This window comes from Homo sapiens, chromosome 11 (assembly GCF_000001405.40).
Source record: "Homo sapiens chromosome 11, GRCh38.p14 Primary Assembly".
Taxonomy (NCBI): Eukaryota; Metazoa; Chordata; class Mammalia; order Primates; family Hominidae; genus Homo; species Homo sapiens.
Genome location: NC_000011.10, coordinates 32,390,598 through 32,405,337, shown reverse-complemented (window position 1 = coordinate 32,405,337; position 14,740 = coordinate 32,390,598). Strand labels below are relative to the sequence as shown.

The 14,740-nt window shown below is 45.8% G+C and overlaps 1 protein-coding gene across 20 annotated transcripts in view; it reads left to right on the top strand.

The window, feature by feature from the left end:
• Positions 1–14,740, top strand: part of WT1 (WT1 transcription factor) — a 47,765-nt gene that overhangs the window by 30,202 nt on the left and 2,823 nt on the right. For 8 of the 20 annotated variants that reach the window (NR_160306.1, NM_001407050.1, NM_001407045.1 and 5 more), the window contains 4 exons: positions 5,294–5,390; positions 8,931–9,081; positions 12,583–12,672; positions 13,274–13,366. Coding sequence is in view for 18 of the 20 variants with exons in the window: in NM_001407050.1 (NP_001393979.1) it covers positions 5,294–5,390; positions 8,931–9,081; positions 12,583–12,672; positions 13,274–13,366 (431 nt within the window). In the remaining 2 variants the exon portion in view is untranslated. Of the gene's footprint in view, positions 1–4,937; positions 5,193–5,293; positions 5,391–8,930; positions 9,082–12,582; positions 12,673–13,273; positions 13,367–14,740 lie in introns of those variants that run through there. The other 12 variants (NR_176266.1, NM_001407047.1, NM_000378.6 and 9 more) reach the window with 5 other exon arrangements.

Sequence of the window (14,740 nt, the reverse complement as noted above, 5' to 3'; positions counted from 1 at the left end):
TTATAACTCAGGTGCTCTCAAAAAAGTCCAGATTTCCTACTTTTCTTTGAGAATGGAAAAGTATAGCAATGCTGGGTTCACATTGTTTACAGTTATTGGCTGGGAGAGCTGAGTCGTGGCTGCCTCTGTTGGTCAGAGGGTGATGTGGCCAGGGTAGCCGTCCCTGTGAGTTCAATATCGTCTCATTCTTTAGGGTCGCCTTCATTTTACTTGTCTTACTTGGCCCCTATAGGAATATTTGAGTTCATGGCTCTGTTTTAAATTAAAAAGAGTCAATCCATATTCTGACCAATTTAGCAAACACATGAAATAACTGCCTCCTTATCCAATAACCGGGAAATTCATGGAGAATAAGAGAGGTGACCGAAGAGTTGAGACAGATAAATGTCTTAGTTTTCAAGTAGGAAAAAAACCCAGTGGATTCTGGAAACCACAGAGTTAGCATGAATTCTTGGAAAAGTTATTAGGCCAGATCTTTGAGAACAAGCTGGGGAGAAAACAGGGATCATGACCAAGGTTGGTTAGTGGTATGCAAGACACGTGCCCAAGTCCGTTTCTTTTTGGGTAGAATTACCAGTCCAATAGTGGAAGTTCACTAATATTGTGGCTCTTCATTGCAAAAGATATTTGATATTTTTGATGTCCTTGTGGACAAGGTAGGGGATGATGGACTAAATGCTTAAATGGATGATTTGTGCTTGGTTGAACAATAAAACCAAAGGAACTGTTGTCTAAAGTATCTTTGTCAAGTTGGAGAGTGGCTTCTAGCACAGAGTGGTCTCTGTGGCAGGACAGGAGAAGCAGTCATATTACCCTGAACCTCCTCTCCCGTGACTTTACCTGCCTGCCCCAGACTCACCGTTCTTTTCCCCACTTGGAACCATAGCCTCATGACACCTTGCTGTCAATTCCTGTGATCTTCCTGACTATCTTGGCCAAGGACTCATAAATCCCTTCTCCCTGTCATTCAGCAGGGTCAATTATCTTATGTCTCAAAAGGAAGTCTACTAGGAAACAAAACAGAAAAACATGAAAACTGTTTGAAATCTTTTTTTTTTTTTTTTTTTTTGAGACAGAGTCTTGCTCTGTCGCCCAGGCTGGAGTGCAATGGCACGATCTCGGCTCACTGCAACTCCGCCTCCCGGGTTCAAGCGATTCTCCTGCCTCAGCCTCCCAAGCAGATAGGATTAGAGGCACGTGCCACCATGCCCAACTAATTTTTGTATTTTTGTAGAGATGGGTTTCACAATGGTGGCTAGGCTGGTCTCGATCTCCTAACCTCGTGATCCGCCTGCCTCGGCCTCCCAAAGTGCTGGGATTACAGGCGTGAGCCACCATGTCCGGCCTCAGTCACTGAGTTTAGAGGATGCAGAGAAGAGCAGAGAGTCTTTGTATTCAAGGCCAAGTTTACAATGGGGCAGAGGAGATACACACAGATGGCTGTAAAATAGTAATATTTGCGGCTGGGCGCGGTGCAGTAGCTCACACCTGTAATCCCAGCACAATGGGAGCCGAGGCGGGAGGATCATGAGGTCAGGAGATTAAGACCATCCTGCAACACGTTGAAACCCCGTCTCTACTAAAACTACAAAAAAATTAGCCGGGCGTGGTGGCGGGTGCCTGCATTCCCAGCTACTCAGAAGACTGAGGCAGGAGAATGGCGTGAACCCAGGAGGCGGGGGTTGCAGTGAGCTGACTTCATGCCACTGCACTCCAGCCTGGGCGACAGAGCCAGACTCTGTCTCAAAAAAAAAAAAAAAAAAAAGTAATATTCATTCAGTGGTTCTCCAGGAGTCCGAAATGAGAAGACAGATTTCAGCTTGTTTTTAAAGCTCTCCTAAAATGGAATGGGCTATCTTGAAAACTAGTCACCAGTCATGTTGATCAACTGTTGGGCATAAGCTGGAAGAGATTTCTGCTCCAAATGGGGGTTGGTGTAGATGGCCTTTCTGGATCCTTTCTATCTCTATTAGTCTATGGTTCCCAGACCGAGTTGCTTTTTAAAAACTTATTTAGAGAGAATTGCTACCACATCAGATGCCAGTACGTTGTACTTGGTGTTCTGGGCACACTACATTGGGAAGTGTTGAATTGCAGGTTTCCACAGTGTGGAATTGCATTGGTGTGTTTGTCCTTTGGAGACCCAAGTCCCCATAGGCGGGGGCCTGGCTGTTTTTTTTTTCCTCATGGACCTTGTAGGAGAATCCACTGGCATATTTGGCAGGTACAGTCTTGTTGCTTGTTGCTTCTTTTGTTTGTGGTTTGCATCCAGCTGTGCAAATTGCTGTTCCCTTTGAGTGTCACACCACTTAATTTCATGAGACAGTTGTCTTCAGGAAAGTCTGTTCCCATGCCCCCACCCTCCAGGAACCCAGCTAACACCCAGAGCTTAGCTGTCAAGACAGATTTCTAATTTTTACCCTTCGATGGCAGAACTTTAATGTTGTGTCCCTAGAAATCCTTCAGCCCTAGAAAATGTGGAAAGTAGGCCAGGGGCAGTGGCTCACTCCTGTGATCCTGGCACTTTGGGAGGCCAAGGTGGGAGAATCACTTGAGCCCAGGAGTTTGAGACCATCCTATGGAGGACTTAGCAAGACCCTGTTTCTACAAAGATAAAAATAAAAATCAGCTGGGCATGGTGCGGGGCACCTATAGTCCTAGCTCTTTGGGAGATGGAAGCAGGAGGAACAATTGAGCCAGGGAATTCAAGGCTGCAGTGAGCTATGATCGCACCACTACATTCCAGCCTGGGCAATAGAGCAAGCTCTAAAAAAGAAAAAGAAAGAAAATGTGTAAGTCACATTGTGGCTCCATGCAGATGACTGAAGCAAGCAAAGGCAGCTTCTCTTCACAGCCTTTGAGGCAAAATGTTCTGGCAGCACCATGGCACCATTCTGGTACTGCCCTCTTTCTGCTGCCAAATGGCCATTGTCATCACCTCTCACTTTCCCACTGTCTGTACCAAGTAATTGAAAGGAAGGCAGACACAGCCTCTTTCTCCTGACAAACACATTCTAAGGGTCAGAAGGGCATATGTTCTTTGGGTTTGGCATTTTTGCCCAATTTTTGCAGGTTTGACCCTGGGGCTACTTCTTTGAGACATTCCCCCTGCCCTAGATAAGTCAAAAATTACTTGAAGGATGTGGAGACAAGATATGGTAGGTTAGAGGGGCAGGCAGTTCTTTCTAAAATGCTTAGAGCCAGAAGTAAATGTGAAACCCTACAGCTTCTGTGGCCCTAGGGGGTGTGGACATTTCAGTTGTCCTGGCAGACACTCTTTCCTTCAGGCACTCTCTCCTCTGGGTGAGTGAGTATTGGGTCAACTCCAGGCTTCCCCACACCACACCAGATGGAGTGGGCTGATCCACCCACCAGCTTACCTGCCTCCCTGCCCAGGACCCCTGGAACCAACTGTTAGAGTAATGGAGGCAGAGAATGGAATTCTCAGTGCTGACAGCCAGTTTAATCCCACCTGGAGGCTTTTAAAAATGCTGATGCGGCTGGGCCTGGTAGCTCACACCTGTAATCCCCGCACTTTGGGAGGCAGAGATGGGTGGATCATTTAAGGCCAGGAGTTCGAGACTGGCCTGGCCAACATGGTGAAACCCCATCTCTACTAAAAGTACAAAAATGAGCCGGGTATGGTGACGTGCGCCTGTAATCCCAGCTACTCCGGAGGCTGAGGCAGGAGAATCATTTGAACCCAGGGGCGGTGGTTGCAGTGAGCCAAGATCGCACCACTGCACTCCAGCCTGGGTGATAAAGCGAGACTCCATCTCAAAATAAATAAATAAATATACTGATGCATCCTTCTCGGACCACACCCCCCCCCGATAATTTTTTAAAAGCAGATTTATAGATTGCACGGACCGTATGATTCACCGATTTAGAGTGTACAATGCAATGGTTTTTAGTATATTCACAGTTGTATGACCATTACCACAATTTTAGGACGTTTTCAGCAGTCATTTTCTTTGCCTTCCCAACTCCCCCAGTTCAAGGCACCCAACCACTAATCTAGTTTCTGTCCCTACAGATTTGCTTATTCTGGACATTTTATAGAAATGCAATCATACTACATGTGGTCTTCTGTGAATGGCTTCTTAGCACGGTATTTTAAAGGTTCATCCATATTGTAGCATGTATTGGTACTTTATTCCTTTTCATTGCTGAATAATATTCCATTGTATGAAGATACTCTCTTTGATTTATCTATTCATCAGTTGATGGACATTTGGGTTGATTCTACTTTTTGGCTCTTAGGAATATGCTGCTAATGCACAATGTATACAAGTTTTTGTGTGGACGTCTGTTTTCATTTCCCTTGGGAATATCCCTAAGAGTGGGATTTCTGGGTCATATGTTAACTTTATGTCTAACCTTTTGAGGAACTGCCAGATATTTTGCAAAGCAGCTGCATCATTTCACAGAGCTATTTCATAAGAGCTCTCCTCGGTGCTTCTAGGTGTAATTCTAATGTGCTGCTGGTGTGGGTGAAAAACCTCAGTCTGCCTCATCTCATCTGGAAGTAAAATAACTGTAGAGCAGATAGAGGCATTGTATCTGAAGGAGAGAATAATTTTAGAACAGAACATTCGTTCCTTTCAAGTTGTCCTTTTCAGCATTGCACATCTTTCAGCTCTTCCTATGTAGTCGAAGCTTAACCTGAGCACCAGTTAGGGGACTAGTCAGTGGAATGCTGGAGGAAGATTCTTCAGTGCCCACCTACAGCACAGGCTGGCTACCAAGAGTTAAGCTGATCTGGAAAACTGACCTGTCATTTAAGCAGAGTGAGGCCACAGATATGTAATCCCCACTTCTGAGGACATGACATCTCTTCTTGCGTCATCACTTTTTTGGTGCTATCTGGTAAAAACTGAGTCATGAGGTGCCGACAAATTCAGTGCACTTAACGTGAAGCTTGAGGCATTCTGCTCATTCCTGAGATACCTGCAGCTGTCAGCCCTGCCGTCTAGATGGTAAACAACTTGCCGAGGATGAAACCCTGCCACTGTGGTCTTCCTCGGCTTGTCTGAGCGAGACCTAGACCGTGACGGTGCACGCCTACGAGAATCGGAGGATGAGGGAGGGGCTGCGAGGTGGCGGCCAGGATCCAGGGGCCTCGCCCTCCGCAGAACCCTGCATCTAAAGTGGCCCCATGGAGGGAGGCAAAAACCAACTATTTTTGTTCTGTGAGCTTTAAAAACCATCATTCCCTCCTGATTGCAGATAAGCATTTCCAAATGGCGACTGTGAGCCACACTGAGCCTTTTTCCCTTCTTTGTGTTTGCAGCCACAGCACAGGGTACGAGAGCGATAACCACACAACGCCCATCCTCTGCGGAGCCCAATACAGAATACACACGCACGGTGTCTTCAGAGGCATTCAGGTGAGCACACAGACAGGCCCCAGCGGGAAGGGGGCCGCACTGCCTCTTCCTACTTACCGGCCCTTTAGTTCCTTACTGATGGACTCTTTGGCCCTGGCAGCCTCTTCTTCACTGCAGGCTCCTTTAACATCAGGGACACCTGCTCGTCCCCTGGGTCTGATAAGGCGGCTGTGTCCTCTCCTAGAGAGGCTGCCCCGCTGCCTGACGCTGCGCAAGATGCGTCCTAACAGAATCCTCTCCTTTCTGCCTTTACTGCTCCATTTGACTTCTCCAGGGCGGGCTGTGCAGCTTTTGTATTTAAGCTAATTGGGCTTGAATTAACCGCTTGGACCTTTGACTTCTAAGATTTGGTCTACATCGTAAAGTGTCCACAGGTAGACTCACATCTTGCCAAGTGTTGATGATCATCATACTAACTGTACCGCCTATGGCTGGACATTTTCTATATACTAGGCATTGTGCTAAGCTTTATACATGGACTTTAGAAAAATGGACTTTACCCTATTAGTACCATTTTGTATTGATGTGGTACATTTGTTATAATTGATGAGCCAATATTGATAAATTATTGTTAACTAAAGCCCATAGTTTACATTAGGGTTCACTTTTTGTGTTGTACAGTTCTATGGGTTTTGAAAAATGCATAATGCCATGTACCTATTATTCTAGTATCATACAGAATAGTTTCACTGCCCTTAAAATTCCCTACACTCCACCTGTTCTTCCCTCCCTCTTCTTCTCTTCCCAATAATCACCGGTCTTTTTTTTTTCTTTTTCTTTTTTTTTTTTTTGAGATGGGAGTCTCGCTCTGTCACCCAGGCTGGAGTACAGTGGCGCTATCTTGGCTCACTGCAAGCTCCGCCTCCAGGGTTCACACCATTCTCCTGCCTCAGCCTCCCGAGTAGCTGGGACTACAGGTGCCCACCACCACGCCTGGCTAATTTTTTGTATTTTTAGTAGAGACGGGGTTTCACAGTGTTAGCCAGGATGGTCTTGATCTCCTGACCTGGTGATCCACTCGCCTCGGCCTCCCAAAGTGCTGGGATTACAGGCGTGAGCCACTGTGCCCGGCTCGGTCTTTTTTCAGAATGTCATATAGTTGGAATCATACTAGATGTAGCATTTTCAGGCTGACTTCTTTCTCTTAGCAATATGCATGTAAGGTTTCTCCTTGTCTATTTGTGGCCTTTCCCCCTTCATTTCATCTGCAATACACACTTATGAGGTGGGTACTGTTATTCTCTCCATTTCATGGATGGGGAAACTGAAGCCCAGAGGTGATGAATAATGTCAGAATCACATCGCTAGTAAATATTGGAGCCGAGACTAATAACACAGGTCTTGCCTGACTTCAGACCCCCTGTTTATACCTACTTCACGATACTGCTTCTTAGGGAGGCAGAGGATGGTGAACAGTTTGTGGGAGGGAGAAGTCTCCAAGGAGCATGAAGAAAGTAAAGTATAAAGGTAAAAGTTTTGGAGAATTCAATAGACACTTTTGGTCTGCCACCTCCGTAGACCTTCAGTCTGCCTTCCCTGCAGAGTCTCTGTTTTGGGTGGTCAGAAGCACATACAGTTACTAAGGGTTTCATTTATGGCTTATAAACATCAATCCATGGCTGCAACCTGAGTAACAGCAGTGATACTTTCACCAGAATGGTCAGTACTCTAGATATAAGTTGTATCTGGGCCAGACCCCACATGATACGTGGGGCAAGTAGCTCTGAGATGTTCTGATTAATGTTTCCAGAAGTGTCACGAAGAAAGAACAGTGTGCTCCCTACTCCCAAGCCTTTCAATGGAGAGCAATAAAGGCAAGGGTTACAGAAATACGGAAATCTGACGACGGTTTAGGGAGACATCAAGCCTCTCCCCTGACGAATACAATCAGAATCCTTCACCGGGACCCTTACTGAGATTAACAACTCCTGTTCCCATGTGCACTGCTTCTAGGATGAATTAAGGGAAATGGAAAATGCTTCCTTTGCTTTCTTTCCCATCAAGCCCAGTTTGTCAGGCTCACTTGCCATGGCCTCTAAAACACTCCAGACCAGACAGGTATTGAGTATTCCAATCCAACAGCTGGCTCACCATTTAATTTTATGCCTTCATTATCCCTGAGACACTATGGCCTATTAACATCAATGTTGTGTTGTATGTCACTGCAGCATTTATTCTTCCAAAAAAGAAAATGACCTTTCAGTGCAGGGCAATGTGAAATAGGGACTAGAACATAAGCATGGGGTAGAGTGGAAAATGCACAGGGCAAGGAGTTGGTTATATTCAGAAGTGGTTCCAGGTCTTAGCACAAAACATGGATGCACTTTAGGCCAGGCATGGTGGCTCACACCTGTAATCCCAGCACTCTAGGAGGCCAAGGTGGAAGGATCCCTTCAGCTCAAGAGTTTGAGACCAGCCTGAGCAACATAGGGAGACCCTATCTCTACCAAAAAAAAAAAAAAAAATTAGCTGGGCATGATGACTCTCACCTGTTGTCCCAGCTGTTCAGGAGGCTGAAGTGGGAGGATTACTTAAGCTGGTGAGGTCGAGGCTGCAGGAGCCCCGATCGTGCCACTGCACTCCAGCCTGGACAACAGAATAAGATCCTGTCTTAAGAACAAACAAAACCAAAACATGGATGCACTCTTGTGTCAGCATCTCACCGCCTTTGGGGTTGATTTACTCATCTATAAAGGAATGAGGAGAATTTAGTGGCCACTCAGGCACTTGCTCAGCTCCCATTTATGACTCCCTGACCCCAAGAAGAGGAAGGGGAGCTTGCCTCTTTGTTTTCCTCCAGTTCTTATTCTTGGAAGACTGACAACACACACACTGCACTTCCACAAGATAAAGGGGAGCAACAGATGCCCTGCAAAGGACGTGTGCAGAGCACAGAAGGCAGATGGATTCCAGTGCTTTCTGGCCTCACTATTAAAGGTTGTGCTGGCTTCACCATGGCCTTCTGGTGGGTTTTGCTTCCTTTCACAGATGGGATCCCCAAATCCAGGGGCTTCTTCTTCCTTGTTATTTACTTATACTTGGACGATCTGGTCAGTTAGGGGCTCATTCATTATCCCACTTTTTTCTAATAAGGATGTCCCCACCCATTGCAGACTGGCTCTAGGTCATGTGGTCATGACTCCAAGTGGGAGGGAGTAGTTAGACTTTGGGACTTTGGACTTGCAGACATCACTACCTCAAGAGGAGAAGCTGAGAGATAGAATGGATTGGGAGCTCTTCCAGGTACCAGCATTTCTTTTGCAGAGGCTCTGGGACAGCCATTTCATGTAGGTTTCATCTCAACAGCCACTTCTGGTTGCTCAGTAGTGATGATCTTAGAGCACTGCATTGTAGAATGTCCTGATCTAGCATCCATTACTGATGTCTGCCATGGGGATCTGGAGTGTGAATGGGAGTGGTTTTAGGTCTGCACCTGCCACCCCTTCTTTGGATATACTCCAGTGCTCACTCTCCCTCAAGACCTACGTGAATGTTCACATGTGGCTTAAAGCCTCCCTTCCTCTTACTCTCTGCCTGCAGGATGTGCGACGTGTGCCTGGAGTAGCCCCGACTCTTGTACGGTCGGCATCTGAGACCAGTGAGAAACGCCCCTTCATGTGTGCTTACCCAGGCTGCAATAAGAGATATTTTAAGCTGTCCCACTTACAGATGCACAGCAGGAAGCACACTGGTAAGTGTGCCCGCTGTCCAGTCTTGGGCAAACATGGTTCAAGAGCTCCTTTTCCAGGCTCTCACACTGCTAAGGACCCAGGTTATTTCCAGGATGGAAAGTAAGCACTGCTTTGAAAGGTCTGATCCAGGTGTTGTAAAGAGGCTGTGGGGCCATTTTGCATTCTGATTATCTATCCTTTATTACAGAGGTCAGTAAACTGTCTTCCAGAAAGGCAGAGCAGAGTGGTAGAGAGAAAGTGCCACAGAATTAAAGAGACCTGTGTAGGAATCGTGTTGGTGTTAGAATACTATTAGCATTTCTAAGGAGAGAGGAGCTGGCCTGGGAATATAGTCATCAGATGGTTTTAGGAGGTCGATGGGCAAGATCATTGTGAAATTTTAGAAGAGATGGTCCAAAGAAAAACTTACCTGCTTGGGTCAGTAATAATCAACTAGACAGGAAGGGGAAAATTGATTGTTAGTTTGATTTTTTAGTGATCACTTAAAAAAAAAAGGTCAGTCATGGGGGCTCACGCCTGTAATCCCAGCACTTTGGGAGGCCGAAGTGGGTGGATCACCCAAGGTCAGGAGTTGGAGACCAGCCTGGCCAACAAGGTGAAACCCCGTCTCTACTAAAAATACAAAAATGAGCCGGGTGTGGTGGCACGCACCTGTACTTGGGAGGCTGGGGCAGGAGAATTGCTTGAACCTAGGAGGCAGAGGTTGCAGTGAGCTGAGATCTTACCACTGTACTCCAGCCTGGGCGACAGAGCAAGACTCTGCCAAAAAAAAAAAAAAGGAGAGAGAGAGATGATGATTTTTTATCTTTGAAGATACGCCAATGAAACTGGATTTTCCCCCAGGTCAGAGAGGCTGCTTCTGGGAAACAGAGAACTGGCATTGTTTGGTGTTGGCCACCTTGAATGTGGACAGCCATGTCACAGAACGTTTACTCTGGGCCTTGTGGGCACTAGGTGGGAGTGTGGGAGTGTGGTAAAACCCAGGTTTTCCTACAGAGGAGCTACTGCTGCCTTTTCCACAATCGAAGAACAGCATTATTATAGGATCACTGTTGCAACTGTGTTATTACTGCTGATTTTGCTCTTGGGAAGCTGGAGAAAAAAGTGAGCTGCATTCAGATTTCCTTGGACCATTGAAATTTGCTAATTCACTGTGTCCAGAGGATGCAATTCTGGTGTCAATCTGAGTTTGCACTCAGTGGGCCACAGACTTTGAGGCTAAAAAGGAGGGGACCAGTGGCATGTTATGTTTTTACACATTTCCCCAAATGGGATCATTTGAAAAGTGACTGTCAAGGTTATAAGGAAAACGAGAAAGTAAAGTCCTGCCTGAAAAATGCAAGGGAATAAATGAAGGCAATATGGTTGTAGAAACTTTTAGTGAGAGAGAAGCACTTAGAATGCAGTGAGGGTTAGACAACTGTGTGAAGGGAAGGCAGTGAACAAGACAGCCAAAACCCCAGACCCACTGGAGCCTTTAAGAAACTCTTCCTTGCAGAAGATGAGGGCAGGTTGGTATTTAACAATCCTACAGTCCCCCTTGAAAGAGAGCAATATTTTCTTATTTATTTATAACAACAGTACAGACTGTTATATTAAGTACTTTTTGGGTGTCAGGCTCTCTACATGTATATTTCATTTAATCCTCACTCACAAAACATTTATGAAGAGTATAGGATATAGCAGAAAGAGGACTCAAACTCCTTCTTTTTAACTGCAGGTTATAATCCTCCTTCTCAAAGAGTTCCTGGTTTGTTTGGGAGCTAGGATATAAAGAAATGAAAAGTGACTGAGAGAGTACATGATCATGTACTAAATCAGAGACAGGAGGTACCGAGGGGTTTGGAGGGTATCAGTTTGAACTAAGGTCATCCGAGAAAGTTTCTCAGAGGAAGAACAGCTTGGGTTAGCCAGTGGAGGCTGGTAGTTTGGGCAGAGAAAGTGATAGATGAGCAGAAGCTCAAAGGCAGGGGAAGGAAATCAGACTCAATAGGGGTAACATCTTCTCCAGCTCACAGAGGTGAAACATAAGGCACCAACCTGGATACAAATACAAAGAAAGGGGCCAGGTGCAGTGGCTCACACCTGTAATCCCAGTATGTTGGGAGGCGTAGGCGGGAGGATTGCTTAAGGGGTTCAAGACCAGCCTGGGCAATATAGTGAGACCCTGTCTCTAAAAAAAATATTTTTAAAAATTTAGCCAAGTGTGCTGGTGTATGCCTGTAGTCCCAGCTACTCAGGAGGCTGAGGTAGGAGGATTGCTTGTGCCCACGGTTTCGAGGCTGCAGTGAGCTAGGCTCACACCACTGCGCTTTAGTCTGGGCAACAGAGAGAGACTCTGTCTCTGAGAAAAAATAAAAATAAAAAGGCTCCAGCCCTTAGGATTTTCCAACCCATTGAAGAATTGTAGAATTGTAGACCCAGACACAGCTCACCACATTAGACAGCCTGGAATAAATGTCGTAATGAGGGAAGGAAGGGAAATTGGCCCATGCAGTTTCCAAGCAGGCATTGCAGAAGAAGGAGACACCCAGGAGACTTTTCGATGTGGAGATAGGGATGGGGGACATTTAGTGTGAGCAGAGTGCAAGGAGGACTTCAGGATGTGAGCTCTGGCATAGTGGGGAATAGAGATTCATGAGGGAAATAGCCCAGGCTTTGAGATTGGAAAGGTAACAGGGGGCTGCCTTTGCAACAGAAAGACCTGACTGATTCTAGAATGGCTTGTTTCCATCCCAGATGCCTGTGACTCAGGATTCTCCTAAGAAGGTGGGAAGGCCTGGGGTTGCTCACTTCTCTTGGGGCTCAGGTCCCAGTATTTGGCTGAACTTTCTCTAGTGAGGACAGGGGTGAGGCTTCTCCATTCTGAGACAGGAGGTTGGGTAATCCCACTACTGACTTCTCTTGGATAAAGCACACCAAAAACTTTCTCAGTGCTTTTGGTGTGTTTTGAGGGTCTCACAACCATGGAGTCATATTTGCTTGATGCAAGAACAAGGAGTCAGTAGCAAAGAACACCAGATCTTTGGGCCCTAAAACATAAAACTCTTATTTCATGAGGTTGACCTCAAGGCACATGCATCCCAGAATTCTGCCTCAGATTCTGCCTGGGAGTTAAAGATTTTGTTTTTTATTTGCTAATAGTTTTTGAGCACGCCTTCTATGCCAGGCTCTGGGCTGAGCCCTTTATGTGAAGGTCATAAATCCTTTAAAGTTGTTGGATTATTGGACCCATTTTACAATAAAGAAACCACACCTCACCCAGGGCTTTTTTTTTTTTTTTAATGGCAGAGCTAGATGTGAGCCTTGGGGCAGAATCCTCTGGCCCCTGAGCTCCCATTCATTTGTAACTTGCAAGTTGGGGATCATCCTACCCTAACAAGCTCCAGCGAAGTGCCTTAGGCATTTTGGGATCTGTTCAGTCCTAGTAGGAGAGGTTGCCTTTAATGAGATCCCCTTTTCCAGTATCATTTTCAAATAGAATATGTGTCTTCCCCAAGGTGAGAAACCATACCAGTGTGACTTCAAGGACTGTGAACGAAGGTTTTCTCGTTCAGACCAGCTCAAAAGACACCAAAGGAGACATACAGGTTTGTAGGTTCACTTCTCATTGCTGGCAGCTGTGTTCCCTTGGGCTAGGGTTGATTTCATGATTCTCTTTGTTGTTGAATATGAATGAGAGAGTCAGCCATGTGTTTAGTTTTTCCAGTATTTTCCCCCCATAATCTCTGGAGATGTTCCTCCTCTTAAATAAAGAAAAAGAAAGAAAAGGAAACACCCCACATTTCCCCTGCAAACCACAGAACAGTGAGATCCCACTAGCAGTGGGCTGATGATACACTGAGCATCAGCAAAGAATGAGGGTGATGGAGAGCGGAATCCAATTTGTAGCGTGTGATTCACTTTTCCTGTCTCTGACACAGCTGAGATCTTCCAGCTGGTGAGAAGCTGGACCTCTGTGGTTAAGGAATGGTTGTTCCCAAGACAGAAGCAGGTCCTTGAAGATTACTGTGCAGAATCAGTGATTCTTGTTGGGCCTGGGGGACTGGGGAAATCTAAGGGTGAGGCAGATGCAGACATTGCAGGCATGGCAGGAAATGCTGGGCTCCTCCAGCTGCCGGAAGTCAGCCTTGTGGGCCTCACTGTGCCCACATTGTTAGGGCCGAGGCTAGACCTTCTCTGTCCATTTAGGTGTGAAACCATTCCAGTGTAAAACTTGTCAGCGAAAGTTCTCCCGGTCCGACCACCTGAAGACCCACACCAGGACTCATACAGGTAAAACAAGTGCGTAAACTTTTCTTCACATTTATTTTTCATTATTTTTTTAAACTATTGTGGAATGAAATTGTGATGAGAGGGATTGGAAAAGACTAGTGTAAAAGTTCTAAGGTTTAGACTCAGTTGAGAGAAGGAATAGTGCGTGGCTATCTTTAAATAATAAATAATAACATTTTTTAAAGAAGGGGAGGGTGGAAATACAGAGAAGGAGAAAGATGGGAAAAGAATGGCTGGAGTGTGCAGAATGAAAATGAAGAGATAAGCCAGGTCCCTACTGTTTCCAGTTTGTTGCATCACACATTTTGTTACTCTCTTTGATACGATAATCAACTTTACAGAAAAGCAGCAGAAATTCTAGCAAGCCAAATATTTATTCTTCTGAGAGCACATGTTTAATGGCACTATTTTCAGAGAACTGAGTCCTTGCTCTGTTAAAAGTTAATGCACCAGGAGCGGTCTTGGTTTCTGCTGGACCAGTATCAGTGTGTGGATATTATTTCCTTCATACTAGTACAGAGAGGAGAATAGGGCATTCATTTACTGGCTGCTGAAGGTTTTTGCTTTCTGCAAGGCTGGTGTGATTCATAATAAAAATAGCACCACCTTTGTTGCATATTTTCTACCTTTGGAAAGAGCGTTAATATTTAGCTTATCTAAGTCTATCTTCACAACATGCTTGTAAGTAGAGTAAGGTAGGACCGGCTGTGGTGGCTCATGCCTGTAATCCCAGCTATTTGGGATGAGGTGGGTGGATCACTTGAGCCCAGGAGTTCAAGACTAGCCTGGGCAACATGGCAAAACCCTGTCTCTACAAAAAATACAAAAACTAGCTGGGCATGGTGGTGTGGACCTATAGTCCCAGCTATTTGGGGGAGGCTGAGGTAGGACGCTCACTAGACCTTGCTTGGGAGGCTGAGGCTGCAGTGAGCTGTGATCCCACCACTGTACTCCAACCCAAGCAACAGAGCAAGACCCTGTCTCAAAACAAAACAAAACAAAACAAACAAAAAAAAATGAGGTAGGCATGTTTTATTCCCATCTTACAGATGAGGAGACTGAGGCAATAATAATTCAATGGCTTATCTAAAGTCACAAAGCTAGTAAGGAGCAAATCCAGTTCTGTCTGCTTCCAGCCCACCTTGTCCCACTTGCTTCTTTATTGGAGAAGGGGCAGATATTTACTCTGCAGTCCAGGGAGCATGGAGAGTCAAGTAGAGAATCAAAGTCAGCAAAGCTGAACACCACTGAGAGACTGAGAGGAATGAAGATGACAAGAGACAGGGTTGGGATTAGTCCATTAGGAGCCAGCCCTTAACAGCACTGCTGGAGGTGGGGTTGGAGAGTGAGAGCCAGGCCAGGAAGAGCAGAGGAACAGCGAGT